The sequence below is a fragment of the Homo sapiens genome, chromosome 17 (assembly GCF_000001405.40).
Source record: "Homo sapiens chromosome 17, GRCh38.p14 Primary Assembly".
Classification (NCBI taxonomy): Eukaryota; Metazoa; Chordata; class Mammalia; order Primates; family Hominidae; genus Homo; species Homo sapiens.
Window position 1 is genome coordinate 9,852,613 of NC_000017.11, and position 26,743 is coordinate 9,879,355.

Here is a 26,743-nt window from a genome sequence, read left to right on the forward strand (position 1 = left end):
TGGAAAACGGAAAGACAATATGAAAATAAATAAATAAAACCCAAACTTGGTTATTTAATCTTGGTGTTGATGGTTTTGAGTCTTTTCCATTCTGGTTTGATTTTTGTGCATTTTTGCCTGGAGTGTTTCATAGATTTCTCCACTGCTGCTTTTTCTTCAGTTTCCTCATCAAAATCATCATCTTCTTCAACATCATCATCTTCATCATCATCATCATCTTCTCCATCAGCAGGAAGTTTTAATTTTTTCTGTGGAAACTTGCTACCACTTCCAGGGGCAGATTACTTTCCAGATATACTTAAGAGTTTCACATTCTTCTCCTCTTCATCTTCTGACTCTGCATCTTCCTAAGTGCTGTCCACTAATAGGCATCTGCTCTGAACCACACTCTTCAACTGTAAGACCGTGGGTGGTGTGATTTCAAAGCCCCCATGGAAACCATTGGCTGTACAGACATTTTCAAAGTCGCCAGTGTTACTTTAATTGGACTGCCTTCGTCATTCATTGTCTCTGCGTCAACAATGTGCAATCATGCTTTGCACCAGCCCTCAAACTGACAATTCTTAAAGATAAGTGGTGTTCCTTTTCATCATTGTCCGCCTTAAAGGGATCGTCTTTGTCGGCCTTTAGTTCACAACTGAAAACATAGTTCTGGGGCCTCCGGGGGCTCATGTCCATCTCCATCGAGTCCTCCATGGGGTGGTGGCACGTACTTAGGTGGGAGAAAAGGTGGACAGAGATAAATGACTGCTGCTCCAGGGAACAGCTGTGCAGGACGGAATCACACCAGCCAAACTTGGTTACTTAAGAAGATCAATAAATTTGGTAAACCTCTAGAAAGATGAACTTAAAAAAGGGAAAGAATTAAAGATGAGAGAGAGAAAGTGAGAGAGAGGTCAGGAGTTATATTAAGAGAGATGGAACATCACTACTGATACTTTATAGACATTAGAAGGATAATAAGAGATTTTTGATGAATGCCTTTTTGCCAATAATTTCTACATGTTGGATACAATAATTTTTTTAAAAGAAACAAACTACAAAATTTCACTAAAGAAGGAATGGATAACCAGAATAGTCCTATATCTATTATTAAAATTGCCTTGCAGTTAAAATTCTCTCACAGAGAAAAACCTCGGACCTATTTAACTCCAATGGTGAATTCTACCAAATATATAAAGTTAAAATAATGCCAATTCTACATGAACTCTCCAGAAAATTGAAAAGGAGGAACTACTTCCCAACTCAGCTATGTGGCCAAGACCAGACAAACACATTACAAGAAAATAAAACTACAGACCAAAATCTCTCATGAACATAGAACAAAAAAATCGCATTTAATAACACAAAATTTCTAGTAAATTATCCTGTGTTCACAATCAGGCGACCTGGGACTCAGAGAAAATATTGCAATGTTTCATTGAGTCTTCTTCCAAGAGGTCATCTATGAAGACTTACTTTACAAAGGAAACATTCAGACAGAAATTTGGCCCTGTCCTCCAGAAGGAAGGACCCATAGACCCTAGGGACAGTGCTCCCAAGGGCAAAGAGCCTGTTCTCATTCCCAAGGCATCCTCTTGTTCTGAACGCAATTCCTTTATGATATTGTGGCTCTTGGTGTATCAGTGCTGGGCTGTGGGCCCAGTCACAGGGGTGAGACCCACCGTGGGCTCTTCACTTGTTAAGGCTCCTTGGCCTCTGAGATGTACCAGAGAGCAATCTAAACTACCCTATTTGGGTGTCAACAAGGATGGGGAAGGAAACATTTAAAAAAATGTTGGGAGTCCATGCCTAGGCCCTTGGTGGCCCTGGGTGTGGAGCTGGGGGTTGTGGCCATAGCCCCATGGCTTAGTGGTCATGTCTGCTCTTCCTCTGTGTTCAGGTGGATCGTTATGCCTTGCTGTCAACCTTGCAGCTGATGTACACCGTGGGATACTCCTTCTCTCTTATCTCCCTCTTCCTGGCTCTCACCCTCCTCTTGTTTCTTCGGTGAGTAGAACTTCTGCAGGCATGTGTTCGGGCAGGTATAGTAGCCCTCCTTCATCTACAGGGGATATGTTCTAAGAGTTCCAGTAGATGCCTGAAACCAGGGGTAGAACGAAACATAGTGTTCAAACCAGGGATAGAACCAACCCTATGTTTGGTTCTATCTCCATGTTTTTTCCTATACATACATACCTCTGATAAAGTTTAATTTATAAATTAGGCACAGTGAGAGATTAACAGCAATAACCAATATTGAAATAGAACAATTATAATGCTATACTATAATAAGAGTTATGTGAATGTGGCCTCTCTCTAAATATCATTACACTATGTTCACCCTTCTTTTTGTGATGATCAAGGAATGGAGCTGGTCAAGGTTAGATTTCATCACTTTACTCAGAACAGCACATAATTTAAAACTCATGAACTATTTATTTAATTATTTATTTCTGGAAGTTTTTCGTTTAATATTTTTGAGCCGCAGTGCACCATGATTGACTGCAGGTAACTAAAACAGTGGAAAACAAAAGTGTGGATAATGGGGGAACTATGGTATTGTGTAATTTGCTCATTGGCTACCTCTAGAAGGCACTGGAAGACTGGGCTGGATGTGTCATGAATCATCAAAGCTGGAAATGACCAGAGAGAGGCTAAGTCCAATCCATCCCATTTTGCAGAAGAAGGGGAAGAAAGGGATGGCAATGTCCCAATCAGAGGCATTGAGTCACCTCTGGCCATAAAGCCAGTTGGCTACACAGCTAGAATTTGAACCCAAGACTCCTGACAGCTTTACCTCCTTTGGATTAGACACCTGCTGTGCGCCCGGCCCTGGTGTAAATCCCTAATCACACCCATTACCACCACAGCCCATTCCCACTACAACTCAATCAGAGGCATTCTTTTTACAGAAGAGATTAAGAATCTTCCCCAAGGTAAACAAATGGATGGAAGAGCTGGGATTTCAATTCAGGGCCCTCAGATGTCAATTAGCTATCAAATTTAAGTGCTTACTCCTAAGCGCATTACATGCATTAAGTCGTTTAAATGTCATCCCTAATTCAAATTAGGATTCATTCTATTCCTGGGAGGTTAGCATTATTATTACCCCCACTTTAGACGTGAGTTAACTGAAATATAGAGAGATGAAGTAACTTGCCCAAGATCACCGGCTGGTGGGTGATGAAGCCAGGATCACAAACAAGCAGTCTAGGATCTGAGCACTTTCACTCCCTAAACTTTCAGTATTCCAAAGCCTGTGTGCCTTTTACTAAATCATGCTTTTAGAAATCAGGCAAGTGAGACATTTATGGACCCACTAGAAAGCTCTCCAAAGCTGTCTCTGGTCTCAGGAATGTAAGCGGATATAATGTGGCAGAATGAGCATTTGACATAGGTGTGGGAGACCTGGAAACCAGCTCCAGAGCACCTCTCCACCTGGGCTCTGCTAGCCCTGGGTTGGGCCTCATGTGACTCCTCAATCCTGAGATGTTCTGCAGCTCCTAGGGTAAAGTCATGACCATCTACCCCATTGGGAGAACCATGCTTGAGCTATGGGAGAACTCTGCAACTTGTACACACTGATTATCTGTGACCTCCTTCCTTCATGCCCTGTCCCAAAGTCCCAGGACCAAGCCAGGAGAAAATAACTGCCCAGCCCTGTAGGAAGTCACTTCGGCCAAGCCTGGGACAACCAAGTGTCAGTTCTGCCTAAGGCTTGGGGAAAAGTGAGGCCCAGTCGCTGCCCTCAAATAGCCCCCAGTCTAGTTAGAGAGAAGAATGTGTAAATCCTAAGACACAAGAACCTGCCTCAGGTCCTTTTAGAAACTAAAAATATAACAATAGCTTTAAAGCAATATAGGACAGGGTGTGTGCTACCCAGGGAGCACAGCTTTCCTCTGGTGACAGCAAGGATGCACAATGTCACATCACACACAAAGAGTCTGCAGGAGACCCCAGGTGCATAAGGAAGAGGTGATGAGAGCTAACATTTTTCTGGACACTTACTTATGTGCACAGATTAACGGATTTAATCATTCCACAACCCCTGGAGGTAAGTGCTCTTGTTCTCAGAGGCAGAAGAAACTGGGAGACCTATGCTTTGGCCTGAGAGTTTCTGTGTCTGAATCCCAACTCTGCGACTTACTGCTCTGGGACTTTGGACAGATGACTTCATCCTTCTGCTTTAATTCTTTCATTTATAAAATCAGGGTAATAATAATTCCTATACCTCCAGTGGTGGTAAGGAGTAAGAATACTCAAATGTAGCTGCATATGTAAATGATTTGGAACACGGCTGGCATGTTGAAGATGTTTTGTAGGTGATAGCTATTTTTTTTTTTTCTGAGGTGAAGTCTCGCTCTGTTGCCAGGCTGGCGTGCAGTGGCGTGATCTAGGCTCACTGCAACCTCCGACTCCCTGGTTCAAGCAATTCTTCTGCCTCAGCCTCCCAAGTAGCTGGGATTACAGGCACGCGCCACCACACCCAGCTAACTTTTGTATTATTAGTAGAGGTGGGGTTTCACCATGTTGGCCAGGGTGGTCTCGATCTCCTGACGTCATGATCCGCCTGTCTCGGCCTCCAAAGTGCTGGGATTACAGGTGTGAGCCACCGCGCCTGGCCGGTGATAACTATTATTACTCTCATTTTACAAATGACGAAACTGAGGCACAGAGATTTACGGTCACATAATCCAGCAGTCCAGCTCTGCAGCCTATACTATGACCCTCTGTCTTTAGTGATAGATACACAGGCATAAAAGGCAGAGGCCTGTTGGTTGGAGCCATTCTTTCCTGAGGGAAGGCATTTGGTTTTCTCCTCGCACAGAAAACTCCACTGCACGCGCAACTACATCCACATGAACTTGTTTGCTTCTTTCATCCTGAGAACCCTGGCTGTACTGGTGAAGGACGTCGTCTTCTACAACTCTTACTCCAAGAGGCCTGACAATGAGAATGGGTGGATGTCCTACCTGTCAGAGGTAATCCCCTTCCCCACTGTTTACACTGGACTCCCCACCTGATGGGTCAGTACTGGGAATCAGAAGGCAGGCAGGTGGGACTAGGGAGGGGCAGCGGGAGATAAGAGGGTTTCCAAGACTTTCTGGCTAGAGAAGTAGTACGTGACTTAACAAAACCACCACCTGCCAAGAGCAGGCCAGGTGAAAGAAACCAAAACAGAAGGGTTCACCATGGCTGCTGTATGTCCTTGGGTGGGAATTTCTTCATGTGCAAACAAAAGAATTGGACCAGATCAACGTATTTTACAATTATAGCTGGCCCTCTGTATCCGTGAGTTCTGCATTCATGAATTTAACCAACTGGGGATAGAAGATACCTGGGAATAAAAAGGGTGATTGCGTCTGACCTGAACATGTACAGACTTTTTTTTCCTTGTCATTATTCCCTAAACAATACAGTATAACAACTATTCACATAGCGTTTACATTGCATTAAGTATTACAAGCAATCTAGCGATGATTTAAAGTATATGAAAGGATGTGCATAGGTTATAGGCAAATATTCCACCATTTTATAGAAGGGACTTGAGCATCTGTGGATTTTGGTATCCACAGGGGGTCCTAGAAACAATCCCCCAAGGATACTGAGGGACAATTGTACTATTTTCTTGAAGCAGCAATGCTTTTTCACATTGAAATCTGCATCTATTGAGATAGTTTTTCCTTTATCCTGCTAATGACGCAGTAACCTATTAAACTAACCTTGCATTCCTGGAATAAATCCAACTAGGTTTTGACATATTATTTTCTTTCTCCTAAGTTGCTGTCTTTAGTTCGCTAATACTGTGTTTTGTTGAGTATTTCCTTGTTGCCATTCATGAGAAAGATTGGCTTGTAATGCCTTTGTCAGGTTGGGGATCAAATTTGTGCTAGCCTCGTAAAACAAATTAGAGCTGGTTTCCTCTTTCACTATTCTCTGGAAGAATGTATTAAAGATAAGTATTATTTCTTCCTTAAATGTTTGATAGATTGTGCCAATTAAGCATTTTGGACCCAGAGGTTTCTTTATTGGTAAGTTTTAAACTATGGATTAATTACGAATCTAATATCCAGATTCTATTTCTTCTGTCAGCTATAGCAAATGAGTTTTTCTAGGAATTCATCTATTTCATCTAACTGTTCGAATTTATTGGCATAATATTGTTCATGATATTCTCTTTGGATCTTTTTCAAGTCCATTGGATCTGTAAGAGTGTTCTCATTTTCATTCCTGATATTGATTATTTGTATCTTTGCTCTTTTTTCTACCCTTTGATCATGTTGGCAACAAGTTTCTCAACTTTATTGGACTTTTCAAAGAATAAACTTTTGGCATTGTTGATTATCTTTATCTCATGTTCTCTATTTCATTAACTTCTGCTTTTATTATTTCCTCCCATGTACTTTCTTTGGGCTTAATTTGCTATTCTTTTTCTAACTTTTTTTTACATGATCCTTAAAATAATTGATATTCAGCATTTTTCTTTTTTAAAAAATGCACTTAAGGCTATACGTTTTATTATATAAGGTTTGGTATTAACCGTATGTTGTAAGTTCATGCAATATTTTCTTTACATTCAGTTAAGAAATAATTTCTAATTTGTTTCAATTTTTTCTTTGATCCATGGATTGCTTAGAAGTCTATTTTCTAATTTCCAATCATATGAACATTTTTTAGTTATTGATTTTAGCTTAATTGAACTGAGGTTAGAGTACTCTTCAGTGTTTCCATTAGGGCAGTTGCTGATGGTGAATTTTCTACATTTTTGTTTGTCTAAAAATGTCTAGAATGTTAAGGAGGAGGCTGGCCTTGAACACCTACCTGAAGCCCTCCTTCCTTCATATTTTGATATTATTGCCAACCTCCCTGAGATGGTCAGCAAAGGTCTGGGAGAGAACAGAGTAAAGAGGGAGGGGGCCGGGCACGGTGGCTAACACCTGCAATCCCAGCACTTTGGGAGGCCAGGGCGGGTGGATCACGAGGTCAGGAGATCGAGACCATCCTGGCCAACATGGTGAAACCCTGTGTCTACTAAAAAAAAATATATATATATATATACATACATATACAAAAATTAGCTAGGTGTGGTGGCACTTGCCTGTAATCCTAGCTACTCGGGGGGCTGACGCAGGAGAATCACTTGAACCAGGGAGCTGGAGGTTGCAGTGTGAGCTGAGATTGCACCTCTGCACTCCATCCTGGCAACAGAGTGAGATTCTGTCTCAAAAAAAAAAAAAAAAAAAAAAAAAAAGAGGGAGAGGTTGTCTCTGGGAGGCCCTTCTCCCCCGACTCGGGATCAGATGCAGGGGAGCCTGGACTCACCCTCAGGTGTTTTTTCCTCTGCAGATGTCCACCTCCTGCCGCTCAGTCCAGGTTCTCTTGCATTACTTTGTGGGTGCCAATTACTTATGGCTGCTGGTTGAAGGCCTCTACCTCCACACGCTGCTGGAGCCCACAGTGCTTCCTGAGAGGCGGCTGTGGCCCAGATACCTGCTGTTGGGTTGGGGTGAGTGACCTGACCTTCAGCTTCCTTTCCTGGGGATCCATCAAAATATGGGAGCCTGATAGAGACTTTAGTTGGACTTAGAAACCTAACTGGAGGTTGCTTCTGGGACATATAAGTCCTCAAAGACAGGGAGCTTTGAAGAGGGGTATGTGTGTGCACACAAATGCACACATATGCACAGGGGCCATAGGCCCAACAGCCCAATGGACACATTCAAAAATTGAGAAAGTCTTTGGTGGAATCTGATGATATTCCTCCTACCCTGTCCCCAACTGTATTAGTCTGCTTGGAATGTCAAAACAAAATACCTGTGTAGTTTAAATAACAGACATTGATTTCCTATGGTTCTGGAGGGTGGGAAGTTCACCATGGTTGGGTTCTGGTGAGGGCTCTTTTCCTGGCTTGCAGTCAGCTGCCTTCTTCCTGTATTCTCACATGGTGAGGAGAGTGAGAAAGCAAGCTCTCTCGTCTCTTTTTAAAAGGGCACTAATCCTGTCATGAGGACCCCACCCTCATGATCTCAGCTAAACCTAAGTAAGTACTACCAAAGGCTCTGTCTCCAAATACCATCACTGGGGTAGGGCTTCAACATCTGACTTTTGAGAGGACACCTACATTTAGTCCATAATACCAGGTCTTCAAGAAGAGTTTTCTGATTAAAAAAATATGACCAAGAGTATCTAGATTTGGACCCCCTACCTCCACAAACCCTTTGGAGAATTTGGTGCTACAGGATTCAGAGGAAATAACCTGGGCCAGTAATTCAGGAGATTCGGGTTAATATCCTTGGATTTATTCTCAGCTGCTTTGTGACAAGTATCCAGTCGCTTTCCCCCTCTGGGCCCTGGTTTCTTGGGTGGTAAAACAATGGATGGGCCATGTGCCACCCTGGGTCTCTCCAGCTCTCACAGTCCACAACTCCATGATGTTAGGTTTGATGTTGTAACCACCTGTGGTTAGCCTCATCCGCTGTGGTGGGAGGCAAGCAGGTTTGGCCAACCAACTCCTAACTACATTTCCCTGTGTTTTCTCCCCAGCCTTCCCTGTGCTATTTGTTGTACCCTGGGGTTTCGCCCGTGCACACCTGGAGAACACAGGGTAGGTAATTCACCAGGTGTTATTCTTTCACGAGCCGGTAATTCCCAGGCATGCCTAAATACAAAGAATGACATCATTTTACCGTAGAAAATATCTATCCCTTCTCATTTTGGCCATCTAGAATATTCTTAGGAATGGGAGATAAAATAATCAGAGATCTTATAGCAATTAGTTTATTAATTTAGTTACACATGCAAATTAGCTCAAAGATGCTGTATAGGTTAGCTGCAGCCCTGGGTACGTAAGGACAAAAATACAAGAGTGGTTACTGCAGTATTGTTCATAGTGAGAAAAAAAATTAACAAAACTAAACAAACAAAAAACCACTGAATGCTCATCAATATGGGAATCATTGAACAAACTGTAATATACCTATATTGCAGAATATTATGAAACTACTTAAAGAAAAGCAAGTTCGTTATTATGGGAACTTTTAGGCACTGATTCTCAACAGCCTGTTTTAAGCCTATTGCTGAAACGTATATTGTGTGATCCCATTTTTTTCCTCCAAATAGCACACACAAAAAACTACATAATTAGGAATTTATGTTTGTATGAACATGGAGGAAAATTTTGGAAAGATATACACACTAGGCTGTTACCACTGAAGAGCAATTTAATGGTAAGGAAAGTAAACTGTACCAGTACTAACAGGAAGGGATTTGGGTTCTCTCTTCTGCCTCTCCCACCCCTCAGGGGACTGATTGGTGGGAAGTAGGGCTTGAGTGCAAGCATCCTTCTTCCAGAGAGCATGAGGCTTTGACTTTCAACCTCCTCTTGTTTTTAAGTCTTCTACTGCCTGCTTCTACTGTTGACCTTAGGTGCTGGACAACAAATGGGAATAAGAAAATCTGGTGGATCATCCGAGGACCCATGATGCTCTGTGTAACAGTAAGGACCATCCCATCCACCTCTTTGTCTCGGAGCCTAGCAGCTGTGGGGAATCCCCCCGCCCCACCCGACTTCTGTCCCCCAGGTTCTCTGATCCCTTGAGAGAGAGAAGCTGAACTATGAGCATTTTCTGCTGAATGAGAAGTTAGAAGTTTCTTGCTCTGGTTCAGGACCTCAATTTGGAGTTACATTGTAAGCCTCCTTCTCTCTGGGTCTTCAAACTGTGTAAAGAGACCTGCAGTCAGCTCTGTGCTCCTGTATTGAAGGGCTGAGATGTGTGCAAGGCCCTGAGGATACCAATGCCTTTAGTCATGGAGGAACCCAGAATAGCAGGGGTATCGGCTTATATCCTAACACCATCCACAGGAGGGAGGAAGAGACTAAGGGAACTTCTTTTAGAGGAAGAAAACACACAATTAATATTAACCCAAAATTGTGATGCAGCTTAGAATCAAGACATAGATGCTACTCTGAGACCTTAGGGAGGAAGGACCTTTAATCATTGTGGTCCAGAATATTTGGAATGGAAAGGGATGGCCAATCCAGAGTCAAAAATTCCTTTAGATAATAGGGTGTGAGAATGAGAACTGTCAAAGAAGCTAGCAGGAAGGGGCAGAAAGTTAGCAAACACTGGGAAGGGTTAGCAAGATCCCAGAGGGAGGCGGAAAGTATTCCTGCCTAGACACACCACCATAATCTTCGCGTGCCCACCAGGTGCTGAACACTACGTGTTGTTCTCTGCCCACCCTGTTCCCCAAGGGGTTGCTGGATGATCTGTTTTTGCCATTTTATATAAATAATCTGGCATTTGTGGTACCATCAAAGAAAAAGGCTAGTTTTTATAGGGGAGTTTCAATATTTGTCAATAATAGAAGGCAACTCTCTGTTTAGACCTGGGTGTGACCTGGAGGGAAAAATGGTCCTAGAAGTGGTGGGAAAACCGAGAGTGTGGACAGGCCTGTGTCATCTCTGGTCTATGAGGTGGCACGTATGCTGCGGTATCTTCCCTCCTGTCACTGGACCTGCAGCTGATAGTGTGCCAGATGAGGTCTGGGCACACACACCCCACACATGGTGTGCTTAGCCCTGCCACATCCTCCTGCCCTCCACAGTCCTCTCTCCAGCCACACTGCCCAGCTGGGGTCCTGTCTGGACAATTCCACCAACGTCCCAGAAACATTTATTAAGCACTTCTGCATACCAGCTCCATTTGTAAGTGCTTTGTGTATGAGTGTATGAACTCATTTAATCTTCCCAACCAACCTGTGAAGATATGCCATTCTTAGGTTTATTTTACTGGTGAGCACACTGAGATGAGAAATTACTTGCCTAAAATCATAGAGCCAGTCAATGGAAACTGGATCTCAGCCCAAAGGGTGTGATGGGATGACAGCTGGCACTTTTAACCGTAGCACTGTGCAGCTCAAAAACTATTTACTGCCTCCAGCCCCCACGCCTGCCATACTGAATGCTGCAGGCTCTTTTGCACCTTAGTACCTTGGTTCAGACTCTCCTCTGGCTCCAACTCCTTCCCTCGCCATCTTTTCCACCTGGTGATCTGTTCCTCATCTTTCAAGTCTTGGGTCAGGCATCATTCTCTCTGTGCTGCTCTACCTGGATGCTCACCTCACGAAGTGAAAATGGCCACACTCTCCTTTGTTCCTTCCCAGATCCTGTGCAGGCTTCTGCTCCAGCCCTAGCCAACACCATTTCAAGTATCTCTTTAAAACCCATTTTCTGCCACTGTAAGCCCCATGTTCTGATCATCCTGGCAGCCAGCCCAAGCATATGGTGGGTTCTTGATAAACATATTCAGTGCACACTCATGGCCTACATTCTGGACCCTGAAAGGTTCTTGCTAACCAGGTAGAACAAAGTAGAATGGAGGCCAGCAGCCATCCCTAGGATAGCGTTGAGGCATGGTCCAGCTGGATCCCTAGTGTTTACTTGCAGTCTTCTAGGAGCTACACCAATGGTTCTCAAACTGGGTTGCTCTTGGAATCCCCTGGGTGTCTTTAAAAATTCTTTTTGCCTGAGTCCCACCCCCAGACATTTATGTTTCATTGATCTCAGGAGGGGCCTGAGTTGAAAAGCATGTTGCTACAACCTTGCTTTTCAAAGGATGGTCCTCAGACCGGGTAGCACCAGCATCGCCTGAGCGCTTGTTATAAATTCAGGTTCTCCAGCCCCATCTCCCAGGCCTACTGAATCCGAGTCTGCATTGGAACAAGCTCCCCAGGTTTTGGATGAACATTAAAGTTTGTGAACCTCTTTGTCTACTCCTGGAGTTCTCAAAACTGGTTGTATGTTAGAAACATCATGGCGGCTTATACCCCAGACCTATGACATTAGAAATTCTGGGAGTGGGGCCTAGGCACTGTAGTTTTTTCTGTTTTTTTGTTTGTTTGTTTGTTTGTTTGTTTGTTTTGTTTTTTGTTTTTTGTTTTTTTGAGACGGAGTCTTGCTTTGTCACCCAGGCTGGAATGCAGCAGTGCAATCTTGACTCACTGCAACCTCTGCTTCCTGGGTTCAAGCGATTCTTGTGCCTCAGCCTCCCTAGTAGTTGGGACTACAGGCTTCCACCACCACACCCGGCTAATTTTTGTATTTTTAGTAGAGATGGGGTTTCACCATGTTGGTCAGGCTGGTCTCGAACTCCTGACCTCAAGCAATCTACCCACCTCGGCCTCCCAGACTGCTGGGATTTCAGGCATGAGCCACCGTGTCTGGCCCCACTGTAGTTTTAAAACCCCTGAAATGATCCTAGTGGCTAGAACTACTGCTTTGGGCCTTGCTGCTTTGGCCTTCTATGGCTGGCTGACCCGCATTCTAGTTTCCCTTGGTGCTTCCTAGTTGGGACAAGAGAACATGCTCTATCTTCTCACTTTGGATAAAATGACCTTTACATGCTGTTGCTTCTGTGACTCCAGTCATGGTCAGCTCTACTGAAATGGCCACTCTCACCTTAGCTTGTGGTGGACTCCTCATCTTCCCATTCAGACCTCTCCTTCTCCTACTCACTCTACCCAGAAAATGGCTCCACCACCCACCCACCCAGGCACCCAAGCTGGAAAGCTTGGTGTTCTCCTAACTTCTGTCCTCTTCCTCCCTGCAACGTCTATTCAGACTTCAAGTCCTGTCAATTCTTCTTCTAAAGATCTCTCCAAGCCATTTCCTTCTCCTTAATCCCTTGGTCTCTGCTCTTCTTTAGCCCCTTGTGATTTTGTGTGTGTGTGTGTGTGTGTGCAGACCTCTGCAAACACCTCCTTTTTGGTCTCTCTTCTTCATTCTTGCCCCTGACAATCCATCCTCTTGTTGCAGCCCAAGTGATCTTTTTGGAGTAAAATTTGATTATGTCTCTGTTCTACTTGACTGTTTAATGGGTCACTATTTCCCTCAGATCTGGTTCTAAACTCCTTAGAGTCATTCCCTCTCTACTCACCTAACCAGAATTGCCCGATGCTCTACTCGTATGGATACATTTAAAGTTCTCCAATTCCACCATGGTGTTTCCCTCCTCCCATGCACACATAAGCCTCAAGTGCCTGTTGGATGGCCCCAGGTCTGCCTGATAAATTCTCTTTCTCCTTGGAAACTGAGTCCTTTATTAATCTCTCTATCCCCTACCCTCCACCCCCCTGCAATTAAAATAAGTCAACAGGCATGCCTAGAAGGGAATATTTCACAATCACCCTCAGCTCTTAGAGAGGACATTGCTTAACTATTGTTGTCTGTGTCTACAGGCACTTGGACTAGAGGAAACGGGCTTGAAGAGAAATGGGAGCATTCCCTTTGGTCACAAGGAAGACATTTAACCATGAACTTGTAAAACACTGACATATACCCCAGAGAAAGGCATTAGATCTTCATGTCTATCAGTTTACAAGAAGATAATCTGTCCTGAACAATAAGGAGCTAAACCTGCTGCCCTCCCAATCTGCACAGCTCTAGGATTCTAGGACTCTGTGCATTGGTTCTAGGGCTCCCCAGAGAGTGGAATTTATGTGTCCCACCAGACATGGAAGGGAAAAGAAAGGCCATGCAGAAAGAAGTGAAAGAGGCAGGCTAGGAGTCAGGAGCCTGGGCTCTATGACTGACTTGTGATGTGTCCTTCAGCCAGGTGAGTTGGCCTCTCTGGGCCTCTGTTTCTTCATCTATGAAATCAGTCTTGAACTAGACCAGTGGTTTTCAACCAGAGGAGATTCTGACCCCTGGGGACATTTGGCTGTGTCTGGAGACATTTTTAATTGTCATAAATTGGGGATGGGGATAGGAGGAGAATGTTGCTACTGGCATCTAGTGGGTGGAGGTCAGGGATGCTGCTCAACACCCTACAACACACAGAACCACCCCCAGAATAAATAATTATCCTGCCCCAAATATTAAGAGTGCCAACATTGAAAAACCCTGGACTAGACAGTAGCTGCACATTAAAACAACCTGGGGAGGATTAAAAAAATACCCAGCCCAGACTTACCCAGACTGATGGAATCAAATCTCCTGCCATGTAGAGCTTCCTTAGCACTGGAATCTCATTCAGCCACTCTCTTGTATCTTCCTTTAGCATTCATTGAGCACCTTCACTGGGCTTGGCTTGGTGCTAGGTTATTTCAGAGTTTCTATCCTCAGGGAATTCAGAATTTAATAGTTATCATTCTGAGACTCATCAGACTATGACTGAACCAATATCTGCCTTCATTTTTGGTCATATGACCACATGTTGCAATTTTCCACTGATCTGAATAGACATAACCCCAACTCTAAAAGAGAATTCCTTAAACCACAACGTGGAAGGAACCTGGATTCCTGAATGACTGTATGGAGCAGAACTCCCTCCACTGCACTAGACTGTGACATAACCAATAAAATAAAATAAGATAAAATAAATCTTTATTGTGTTAAGAAAAAAATAATAATTCTTTGGCCCCCACATATGTTCTACTTAAACTGAAGTAAGAAAGAGTAACAATAATCAAGACTGAGCTAGTAGCACTTGGCATTTCTAGGTACTTAACAATTTTCTTTCAACTTGGTCAAATTTGAGCCTGGGCCCAATTTTGGGGAACATGGATCAGAGGCTTCTGAGGAAAAGCCAACTGTGCATGGTGAACCAAGCACTGGGACCAAGGAGAGTGTCCCATCCCAGGTTCCGGCTCCCTGGTGAATATCCCTAGTTATCACAGTTGGATCTCTCCCACCATCCCCTAGACTGGGTCTGCATTTGCTGACCAGCATCTGGGTTGATGCGAGTGTACAACATGCTGGAAATCCAGATGCGTCAGCAAACTTCATTTACTGCTTTGTTGGTACAAGGTTGCCTGTGTTTCAGAAATGACCATAATGTGGCAACCTGAAGAATCCAGATGCCCTTTGGGTCTCTTGCCAGGCAGAAATTGTAGAATTCCCACCTCTTTCTTTGTATAAGACTTCACTACTTCACCTGTCATCTGAAATGTACATTTAGAGTTGAATCATCTCGGAAACTGGCATATTCTTACAGCCTAGTCTCCCCAGCCCTCAGTAGAATATTGGTAAAGTCTTGATTAGTCCTGCTCAAGGACAGCCTTAGACAATAATTACATCATGCAAGGTCATTCTATCCATACCCTGCACCCTGCAGTTAACAGACCCGGTGAAATGGCTGTTTTGAGCTAACAAATTGAATGAACCATCTGTTGACTTTATGAAATCATAAAGTCAAAAGCCTGCATTTGCTATTGTTGAATCTTCCGTGATAGCCTCAGAACTTGGCAAAGTTGATGCACTGGTAAAATTTGTCTTCACTGGCCTTGTCCCTCTTTAGGTCCTCTGCCCCACCAGGAACCCAGGGGCTTTCTGTGGCTTCAGGCTTCCCAAGACATTTCCTCACTCCTGTGCTCTCCTCTTCTAAAGACTTAAAGTGTGACTCTCCCTGTACTCTGGGTTTTCCCACCCCATCAAAACTTAGCTTTGCTACACCCCATCTTCTGCTTTAAATGGTGATAATAAGCCAGAGCCTAGGTAACTTACTGAAGTCTTCATTGTTGCAAAAATGAATGAATGAATGAAAGGAGAAAGGGCTTCCTTCCTCCTCTCCCAGTGATTCCTTAGCTTCAGTGGGTTGTGTGCCTTTCAGCAGGGCTCTTGGGGAAAGAGTGTTTTGACTCACAAGAGTAGCTCTACAGGATTAGCATTTTAGTCCACACAGCAGGCCAGAGGAGGAGGGGTTTGGCGGTAGATGGAAGAGTTTAGGGGTAGATGAGGCCTACCCCTGAGCTCCCGCTATACCGGCAATCACCTCTGCCAACTTGTAGGCCCAGATCTGTGCACAGAAGCTGGGGTAACAAGAAAGTGTCACCAAGAATGTCACATCTGAGAATGCATCTGGGATAGATCCTTATATATTTGGGGTCCTTAGCACCCACCCCCATCTGGTCACAAAATCCTGGAGGAGTTGGCTGGGTTCTTGGAAAATGTCCTCACTCAGCCCCTTTCCTGCTTGTGTGAAAATGAAGAACAGCACCATCCAAAAGTACCTGCTGACTCTTGTCTTCTTGGAAGCCCAGATGAGCAGAGGCTTCATGGTACCCCCAGCTAGGGTTTCATCCTGTGGCAGTGAGGAAGTGCCTCCTTCGTACGTTCTATGGGTTGATGCCCATTTTCTCATGTCTGGTCTCTGGAAGACACAGAGAACAGTGAATCAACATGCTTCCCATTATAACCTTTCATTGCCTAGGAGACAGTCCTGATTGAAATTAATTTGCTGAAATAAATGCCTTTCTGCTGTTAAGCTTGCTTTGTAAGAAAAATGCCTATGTTCAATAAATCACTAAGCCAAGGACACAACGTTTTCTCTTTATGATGAGAGGCAGATATCCCATTAAAAGAAATACATTACTTGATTACATTTACCTTGTATTTAAACTTTCTGTTCCTAAATATTCTTTGGCTAGGAACCTCCATCATTCCTGCTGGCTTCAGGCCCTCACATCCAGTCAATAACAAAGATCATTTGACTCATACTTCTTCATCATTTCAAATTGATCCCTTCCTCTCCATCATGGAAGCACCAGAACTGCTGCTGATTTCTTTTCTCCATCACCGTCCCCCAGGAACTCTGAAACTACTTCCCAACTGATCTCCCCTCCTCCAGCCTTACCCTCACCCAATCCATTCTCCACACTGCTGCTGAAATTATCTTTCTGAAATGCAGAAGTACAAATCTGATCAGGTCACTTGCGTGCTTAAAATCTATCACTGGCTCTTCATTGCTTTCAGAAGAAAACCCAAACTCCTTACCTACCACGGCTGTGAAAGACCCTGCAGAAACGGACCCCCCTCTCCTGCCCAGTCTCACTTCTCACAAACCCTGTTCTCATTCTCCAAGCTCTACCCAAACCCAGCCACCTGCTTTTCACCACTTCCAGGGGGCTCTTGATCTCTCCCGAGGCTGCAGCCAAGACGGCAGCCAGGGCCGCAGCCATCTGAAGGCTTGGCTGGGGCTGGAGGATCAGCTCCCAAGGTGGCGCACACACGTAGCTGGTGGTGGGTGGTGCTGGTTTTGGGCCTGAGAACTCAGTTACCCCACGTGGATCTCCCAACAGGCTGCTTGAGTGTCTTCACAAAATGGTGGCTGACTTCCCCTGGAGTGAGAAACCTAAGAGAGAGAGAGAGAGAAAGAGAGAGCTGGGTGGAAGCCAGCCATCCTTTTGAGGACCTAGCCCAGAAGTCACATAGCACCACTTCTATGACACCATATTCTTTTCGTTAAGTGCAAGTAACTAAATCTAGCTCACCTCACAAGGGGAATAAGGGGGATTAGCCTCCACTTTTGAAGGCAGAAGGGCCAAGGAATTTGCAGGCATATTTTTAAATTTCTTTAAAGGCTGACAATGGAGGGCTGGATTTTCCCAGTCCATGACAGTCGTGGAATGTATTCTAGGGAGTAGAGAGCATATTCTGTCTATGAATTCCATAGCAGCAACAGGATCTCAAGTTAGACACCAATAGGGATGGAGTTCTTTACAGAAGAGAGGCAGAATAGCGTTCTGTTTAAGTGAAGGGAGGGTTATAATCCCATGAATCTGGGTTTAATTACAGGCTTAATCACTGACTAGCCATGCAACCTGGGAATTACACTTACTTCTCTGTGCCTGTTTTCTCATTGTTTTATGAGGATAAAAATAGTTGTGGCTACCTTAAGGGGATGTTGTAAAAACTAGATACAAGAATGCCTGGACCATTCTTAGCCCAAAGCCTGACATGGTGCTAAGTACTAAGTGATAAGTACTCAATACGTGGTAGTTAATAATAATAACAATAATAGTAATAATAATAATGTGAACGTCCACCTGCCTTTCTAGATGGCCTTAATGATGGGCCTCCTTAAGGCAGAATAATAAACTAAATCACTTTCTGAAATTCCTTCCAGACTTTCAGTTCAGATGACCTTTGGGACTTTGGAGATTCAGATGGCCTTTGGGACAGTGGAGATTCAGATGGCCTTTAGGACAGTGGAGATCACAGCTAAGCATTTACTACCTGGCCAGCTAACTGCTGAATTGCCCCTGGTTTACATTGAACTGATGGAACTGATGGCCGAGCCCAGCCTGACCTTGAAGTTCACAGCTATGTGGAATTCGTCACTTACTTACCCAATTCTGCTCTTTTTTTCAAGGTCAATTTCTTCATCTTCCTGAAAATTCTCAAGCTTCTCATTTCTAAGCTCAAAGCTCATCAAATGTGCTTCAGAGATTATAAATACAGGTGAGTGGCTTAAGGTTGGTCCCCAGCAGTCCAAGGTTATTGTAAGTACTCTGGCTGTTCTGCCCGCTGTCTTGGGAAGGACATTTATCTCCTAAGGCCAGGGTATCAGAAAGAGCAGTTCTGGGAAGGTGCTATAGGATCAAGTGAGGCTTTTGTCAATGGTGAGGACCTTCTATGACGATGAAGCAAATGGTGAGTAGTCAAGGGCATTCACATCCCCCAGCAGAAAACTGTTAAAATGCCCCTAAGAGGGCAGGAGTGATGTCTCAGACCTGTAATCCCAGGACTTTGGGAGGCTGGGACAAGAGGATTACTTGAGGCCATGAGTTTGAGAACAGCCTGGACAACATGGTGAAACCCCGTTTCTACCAAAAATACAAAAGTTAGCCAGGCGTGGTGCATGCCTGTAGTCCCAGGCTAAGGTGAGGGGCTTGCTTGAGCCCAGAAGGTCGAGGCTGCAGTGAGCCATGATTGTGCCACTGCACTCCAGCCTGGGTGACCCTGTCTCAAAAAAAAAAAAAAAAAAGTTTCTAAGAATGGGTGGTTGTGGGAAAAGGACAGTCTTGTTTGAAGAGAAGTTTGGCAGTTGCCTTCCTTGGGGAAGGATTTGAAGAGAAGAGATTATTTGGGTGTTTTTGAGACCTTGAGAAATGAGACCACAAACTTTTAGGGTCTAAGGAAAGACATCCTTCCACAGGCATCCTTTAATTGTGACTTGTTGTCGCTGCATCTCACCTTCCTCTTTCTGAGATGACAGCAGTCCTCATTCATAGTCAGTCAGATCATAGGTATTTATTAGATCTGCATTGTTGTAAAAGCAAATGAATGAATGAAGAGAGATAAAGGGTTTCCTCCCTCTTTTCCTAGTTATTCTTTACTTTCTTTCTTTTTTTTTTTTTTTTTTTTTTGACAGAGTCTTGCTCTTGTCGCCCAGGCTGGAGTGCAATGGCATGATCTCAGCTCGCTGCAACCTCCACCTCCCAGATTCAAGCCATTCTCCTGCCTCAGCCTCCTGAGTAGCTGGGATTACAGGCACCTGCCACCACGTCCGGCTAATTTTTGTATTTTTAGTAGAGACAGAGTTTCACCATGTTGGCCAGGCTGATCTCAAACTCCTGACCTCATGATCCACTAGCCTTGGCCTCCCAAAGTGCTGGGATTACAGGCGTGAGCCACCACACGTGGCCTATTCTTTGCTTTCTATGTGGCATATGCATTCAGCAGGGCTCTGGAACGGGAGTGTTTTAACCCACAGAGTAGCTCTAAGAGTAGGAATTTCAGTCCACACAGGAAGGCAGAAGAGGTGGGCACGAGTGAAGATGGCCCTAGCCCTGTTTCTCTCCCCTTTATAAGGCCTCACCCAGGTGCTGGGAAGGGAGTTTTTCCTTTTATCTGACAAATATTTAATAGATGCCTACAATGTGCCTGGTACTGTGCTTGGAATAAAAGGTGGACATGAGGCCAGGTTCGGTGACTCACGCCTGTAATCCCAGTACTTTGGGAGGCCAAGGTGGGCATATCACCTGAGGTCAGGAGTTCAAGACTAGCCTGGCCAACATGGCAAAACCCTGTCTCTACTAAAAATACAAAAATTAGCTGGGTGTGGTGGTGTGTGCCTGTAATCCCAGCTACTCAGGAGGCTGAGGCAGGAGAATCACTTGAATTCGGGAGGCGGAGGTTGCAGTAAGCCGAGATCGTGCCATTGTACTCCGGCCTGGGTGACAAGAGCAAAACTCCATCTCAAAAACAAACAAACAAAAAACGGTGTACACGATGTAGACCCTGCATTTGAGGAGCATGCATTCTACTTTGCTAAGGACTAGGATGTTGGCATGGAGCAGGAGGTGGAACGGAGGGAGCTGGCCACGACCCTAGACTTGCCTACTGGCCTTAGGCAAGTGCCTTGGCCCCTTTGGCCTGCTTTCTGGTGTGTAAAAATGGGAGTGTCACTGCAGACTCATCTCCTGCTTATTATGAGGATTCAAGGAGTCTGTAGATATGGTTATAAATATGGGTGGCCACTCTACCCTCCCTCTAGGAGGTCTAGAAGGGTAAACATACCCGGTTCAATAATGGGCAGACATACTATAGTTGCTAGTTGGAGCTTTGGTCCAAACATTTTGCAAGAAACCCGTAGCCCTGGGGAGCCGGCCTGGCCTGGGCTCCAGGGAGCCACGCTGTCTCTCTTGGCGCCTCCAGTCGAGGCTCCAAGTGGCCAAGCAGTCTCTCTGGCTCCCTTCCCAAAGGCTTAGCCTCTCTCACCACTCTTTCAGGGTGGAGCTTCAAAGCCTGCTCTAGTCCACCCTGCTGGGTGCACTCAGGGAGGAGAGTTCTCTCAATAAACAGGTGCCAGGAAAACCAGGGTGCCCCAGAAAGTGGACAGAGGCTAGTGTTTCCAGGAGACAGAAATGGTGCAGTTGACCCCAAAGGGACTCAGAGCTGACACACTGCTGCTTTGTGCCCCCAAAGCCTATCACGGGCCACTGGCACCTTCGCCATGCCCAAGACCCACAGCAACCCCTAAATAGTTTTTCATCATAGCTCCTCATCAGCATCCCCGGACAGCTGGCCAGAAGTGCAGCCTTGTGAGCCCTACCACTGGGTATTCTGACTCCATAAATGCGGGATAGAACCTCACAGAGCAGCCGTGTCCAACCCTTTGAATGGAAGGACATTTTTGCTTATCCGTTGTGGTGGATATCACAAAAACTATGCATGGACTTTTTTTTTTTTTTTTTTTTTTTAGCTCATCAGCTATTGTTAGTGTTAGTTTATTTTACATGGGGCCCAGGACAACTCTTCTTCTTCCAACGGGGCTCAGGGAAGCCAAAAGGTTGGATACCCCTGCTGCAGAGTCTCCCAGGAGATTCTGATACACAGCCAGTGTGGAGGACTGCTGGGCCAGATGTTCTATTGAAAGAACACATGCTAATGAATAAGCATTAGTTAATCAACTCTATTGCACTCTGCAGAAAGAACTAGTAAACAGAAAGGTGGCCAACGAAAATGGCAGGGAAACCACAGAGGGAGGACGTTCTCAGTGGAATATTCTGGTCGGGCCATTATAAATGTCATGCAGCCTCAATGTTCTCTTTTCCAGAGTCCCCTCTAGAGTTTTCAGACTTTTCTGATCACACATCTCTGTCAGTAAAGAAATTCTGAGCACATCCCTCCTCATGTATATGCATGGTATCATGAGCTAATATATGTATTATAAGATAGACCAAAAAATAGAAAATTTAAGAGGACAGATAAAAATTAATATATATACAATGCCTATTATCCTCTATTATAATATTTTCTTCCAATATCAAATAGATTGCCCGGCATAGCCCTGGAGGGTGCGTACCCACCAGGAGCCATTGGTCTAGGAAAGGGTAAATCAAGATACTGGGGAGACCCTCATGGCTGAGCGATGATCCAGGGTGACTGCTTTGTGGGGAGAAAGAGCAACCCTGCCTGACATATGCAGTCTGTCTGGAAATTCCTTTTTTCCTCTCCCCTGCCCTTGTTCAAAGAAAAAGCTTAAGAAGAAGAACTTGGGGCTGGGTGCAGTGGTTCATGCCTGCAATCCTAGCACTTTGGGAGCCTAAGGGGAAGGGATCACATGAGGCTAGGAGTTCTAGACCAGCCTGAGCCAGAGTGAGACCCTTTTTCTTTAATAATAATAATAATAAAAGAGGTACCTTGGTGTGTGTCTACCCAAAGTCCTCCTAGGGTGAGATGCCTCACCTTGGTGAGTTTGCCACCACCTGGGTATAGTACAGGGAACCCATCTATATTCTTGAGTGGCTGAGACTTTGGGAGGCTGACTGACCCCAGCTGAGCTCACAATATATATAAACTAGAACACTGTTCATTTTTAACGTCTGTGGAAGGTGGGGATGGGGTAGAGCATTCCTTTCTTGTGCCCACATGCCTCCCAAAATTTCCTAATCCGCAACACCAGAAGATCCAGGAATCCAAAGAACGTTACTGGTGATCACATCACAAAGCAGAGTCTTGCTGTTGAAGGATGCTGAGGTTAGCCTGAAAAATCACTATCTGCCCACAGCACCACCTACCTGTTGGGAAGGAGGCTCATTCCCCAGATCCAGTGTGCCCTCCACAGACTAGGGTGAGATAGGCACTGAGAACGTCCTCCCTCTGTGGTTTCCCTGCCATTTTCATTGGCCACCATTCTGTTTACTTGTTCTTTGTGTAGAGTGCAATAGAGTTGATTAGCTAATGCTTATTCATTAGCAAAAAGGCAGGGACCTATCTCTCAGGACACACCTAAACCACCTTATTTAACTCCCTGCGCTGGTAAATCCTACAGCATCTATGAACTCACTTGCCCATTGTGCTCTTAGAAAGCCTCGCTAATTCTCTCACTTTCAAGTTCTGAGAGAGTGCTCTTTACTATAACCCCAGCAGGGCATTGGCACCCCTCAGCTCCTCAGCTCACAGTGCCCTCTTCCATGTCGGAAAGTTGTTCCTCTTCCTCATCCCCTTCCATGTTTGTTTTCCCTTAAAGACTTCTGATGGGATAAGAAGGAGGAGGTGACAGGGCCCAGCATATTTTATCCAAACTCTTGTAGGTACAGGCTGCCTCCAATTCTTGAAGATTTTGAGAACTTTTAGAATGTAACCCTGATCTGGCCTCCCTCCAGGATTATATTTTAGGAAAGTTTAAATTAAACACATTTAGGCCCTGCCAAAGAGGCAAGTTGCTAGGAGCTAGAGAACCTTCTGTAGTCTTAGCCCTTGTCCCTGGGCTTCCACCGTCAAGCAAAGGAAATAAAAAATGGTCCATCTGTCTGGCTTGGAGAAAGAGAACTGAGCCAAGTGTGAAGGAGGAACTTTGGGGCTATAAACAGGGTAAGCAATGCCCTAGGAATGCGGACAGAGTTCAGCAGACCGTCAGCTCAGCTGGAGTTCTCTGTTCTTTGTGGTTCCCAGCTCAGAGGCAGCTCTCTTCCCCTAGATAAAGGGCCTTAACTCTCCATGGGATGCACCTGGGCAGAGCTCTTGATTCATTTATAAAGGAGAAGCATTTCATTTTCATTTTTATTTTTTTGAAATGGAGTTTCACTCTTGTTGCCCATGCTGGAATGCAATGGCACGATCTTGGCTCAGCACAACTTCCGTCTCCCAGGTTCAAGTGATTCTCCTGCCCCAGCCTCTGAAGTAGTTGGGATTACAGGCATGAGACACCATGCCCGGTTAATTTTGTATTTTTAGTAGAGACGGAGTTTCTCCATGTTGGTCAGGCTGGTCTCCAACTCCCAACCTCGGGTGATTCGCCCACCTCGGCCTCCCAAAGTGCTGGGATTATAGGTGTGAGCCACTGCGCCCGGCCCGACAAGCATTTCTTAACATGCTAAACCCCAGTTCTTTCTGAAAGGACTTTCTGATAGGCAATGTAGGAAACAAAAGCTTTTCCTTAACCCTCTTAGGGTCCCTGGCTGGGTCTAAAAATTAGACAAAGACAGATTAACAGGAGAAAAAGCATCCAAGTTTATTTCATAAGTCTTATATGACGTAGGAGACTTCATAAGGAAAGGAAGACCCAAAGAAATGGTCAAACTTGTGTATTTTTATGCTAGGTTTAATGCACAGTGGACAGTCATGGGGGAAGTATGATTGAACAAAGGAGATCTAATGGTTATAAACTGGGGGAAATTTGGCAAAGCCTGTTTGTACAGATTCTTGTGTCATTGTGTCTTCAGAAATAAGGACGTTCCTTTCCTCCACCTCTCACATGAGGGTCTTGTGATCCGCTTCAGGAGAAGGTCAGAAAATCCTTCCTAGGTTTCATGACCTGTTTCAGGGGAGAAGGGCGGGAGGTTAGAGAGACCTTCCTGCTTCTGTGATTTTCTCAAATTCTTTCAGCTTAAAATACTCAGTATGTCAAGGTGCCATATTTTGGAGTACCACGTTCTGAACCACATCAGCAACCAAAGACTAAAAATGTTACAAATTCAAGGAAAATTCGTTTAAAAAATTGAGTTATAAGCAACCGAAAGGCAGGGATGGCTTCTTTAAAAATAGTAATAACTAAAATGTATTGATCATTTATCGTGTGTCAGATACCATTTTTTCTGAGGGTTTACCCCATGTTATTTGTTTAATCCTTGTGACAGCCCTGTCAGGTAGATGCTATTACTATTATAATACTCCTTTTACAGATGAGGAAACTAACAGAGAGAGAGGTTAAATAATTTGCCCACAGTCATAGCACTAATAATTGGCAACACTGAGATTTGAACTCAGGCCCAGATACTCTTCCTGTGTCCTGCTGCCTTTGACTACAACTCCTTCTTTCCCACTATATTCACTCATGTGCCATAAGCAGATGCTCAATAAATATTTGTTGGATAGTTAAATGATTGCAATAAATGGAACCATTTAAATAAACAAAAGGTTATGGATGAAAATGAGCATAAACACAGTCTGTAAGAGTAAACTGCTATTGCTATTTATGGATTTTCATCTGGACAGGGACACAAATAGTACTTCGTCTAAGGAGAAGTTAGAATAAGGTGAAGGGTAGACAATCCCTTCATGTCTCCATCCAGAAGGGTGAGTAGCCCAAAACTTTATTAAAAAATTGTTATTCTTTATAGATCATTCTGTACTAAACGAAATGTGGGATCAGGGAACAGGAAAAGGACATTAGCGGGAAATCCACATAAACCCCGAACTTTAGTTCCTAGTAATATACCGTGTTGGTTTCTTAGTTTTGACAAACGGGCATGGTTATGTAGTATGCTAACATTAGGGGAAACTATGCCGGGGGCGGTGGCTCAAACCTGTAATCCCAGCACTTTGGGAGGCCGAGGCGGGCGGATCACAAGGTCAGGAGATCGAGACCACGGTGAAATCCCGTCTCTACTAAAAATACAAAAAATTAGCTGGGCACAGTGGCGGGCGCCTGTATTCCCAGGTACTCGGGAAGCTGAGGCAGGAGAATGGCATGAACCCGGAAGGCGGAGGTTGCAGTGAGCCGAGATCCCGCCACTGCACTCCAGCCTGGGCGACAGAACGAGACTCCGTCTCAAAAAAAAAAAAAAAAAAACGTTAGGGAAAACTGAGTGAAGAGACATGGGAACTCTCTGTACTGCCTTAGCTAATTTTCTGTAAATCTAAAATTATTCCAAAATTAAAAGTTTGTTTTAAAAAACCATAACACCATAACATGGCATCAGAATAAGCTGACAAGACACAGGTCTGCTTGTAGGCATATAAGTCTGTATCTTGAAAACCCAGCCCACCCAGAGCAAGGGTCACAAATTCAGACTCTTACAAGGGCCAAGCAAGTAACACAATTGAGTAGTACAAGCCGGGTGGGGGCTGGATGTCACAGCTTCCTTCTAAAGGGACAGCCATTGCCCAGCTGTAACCAACGATTGCCATGCAAGAATTTGAGCCCAGTGTTGCCAGATCTCCTCATTTTTCAAAAGAAGCCAGAAACCTGGACACTTTTTCTAGAAATATTATTATTTAAAGATGACTCCAATAACAAAAATTGCTCCGTGGCCTAAGCAAAAGTTGTCTGCAGGTCAGTTACTATCCATGGTCACCACTTTGTAACCTCTGGGCCAGAGGGCTTTAAAAACACTCCTGGAAATACAAAACCCTTGAAATGTTCTCTCATTAGGAGCATATTAATGTTGCCTAGCGAAATGACTTCTGTAGGGGTGGGTGTTGGAGTGGGAGTCGATCTGAGCTCAGCTCAAGAGAACCACACAGCCAAGGCCCATGATTCCATCTGTCTGCTCATCAGCCTTTCCTGACAGTCAAGGCTCTGGTTCACACAATCACATGGCCAGGTGGAGTCCCTCCGTCCTGGTGGCTCCTGCACCCCTCTTCTTGGCTTTAGATCCTTTGGGGGCACAAAGGTGAGGTTGTTTATTTCATTGATAACATTGCATCTGAATGGCCCTTGCAGACATAGGATTCATAGTAAGCTCTTGTTCTCGTACAGAGTTAAACCTTCCTTAAGAAACTCCCCCATGAACTGCGAATGCCACCCTGTTTTTCTACACCTTTAATTCCATGGGATCTGAGGGGAAGTTCCTCCTAGTCTGGCCCCTTTAGAAGAAGTGACCTAAGCTAAAAAAAAAATCATTACAATTACGCTCCTCTTTCCCAATGTGGGTAAGACAGTAGCTTTGTTCGTACCCCGAATATGAGTCATCTCTGCTAATGTAGTTAGTTTTAAATTAAGAAGCAGCTCAACAGTAAAGGGCAGTTATTTCCAAACCTGTATACTTCTCAGGATCCATGAGGAGTTCCTTAAAAAGTCCACATCCAGCCAGGTGCAGTGGTTTGCACCTGTAATCCCAACACTTCGGGAGACTGAGGCAGGAGTAGTATATCACTTGAGGCTAGGAGTTTGAGACCAGCCTGGGCAACAACATAAGATCCCCTCTCTATAAAATAAAATAAAATAAAATAAAATAAAATAAAATAAATAAAATAAAATAAAATAAAATAAAATAAAATAAAATAAAATAAAATAAAATAATTATCCAG

At 44.4% G+C, this 26,743-nt stretch overlaps 1 protein-coding gene and 1 pseudogene across 5 annotated transcripts in view; one reads left to right on the forward strand and one right to left on the reverse strand.

The window, feature by feature from the left end:
- GLP2R (glucagon like peptide 2 receptor) overlaps positions 1-26,743 on the forward strand; it is a 66,176-nt gene that overhangs the window by 26,689 nt on the left and 12,744 nt on the right. For all 5 annotated transcript variants that reach the window (XM_011524077.4, XM_017025339.2, NM_004246.3 and 2 more), the window contains 6 exons: positions 1,883-1,989; positions 4,811-4,964; positions 7,330-7,489; positions 8,527-8,587; positions 9,409-9,478; positions 18,135-18,223. In XM_011524077.4, the coding sequence (XP_011522379.1) occupies positions 1,883-1,989; positions 4,811-4,964; positions 7,330-7,489; positions 8,527-8,587; positions 9,409-9,478; positions 18,135-18,223 (641 nt within the window). The remainder of the gene's footprint in view (positions 1-1,882; positions 1,990-4,810; positions 4,965-7,329; positions 7,490-8,526; positions 8,588-9,408; positions 9,479-18,134; positions 18,224-26,743) is intronic.
- On the reverse strand, positions 54-795 carry NPM1P45 (nucleophosmin 1 pseudogene 45; annotated as a pseudogene).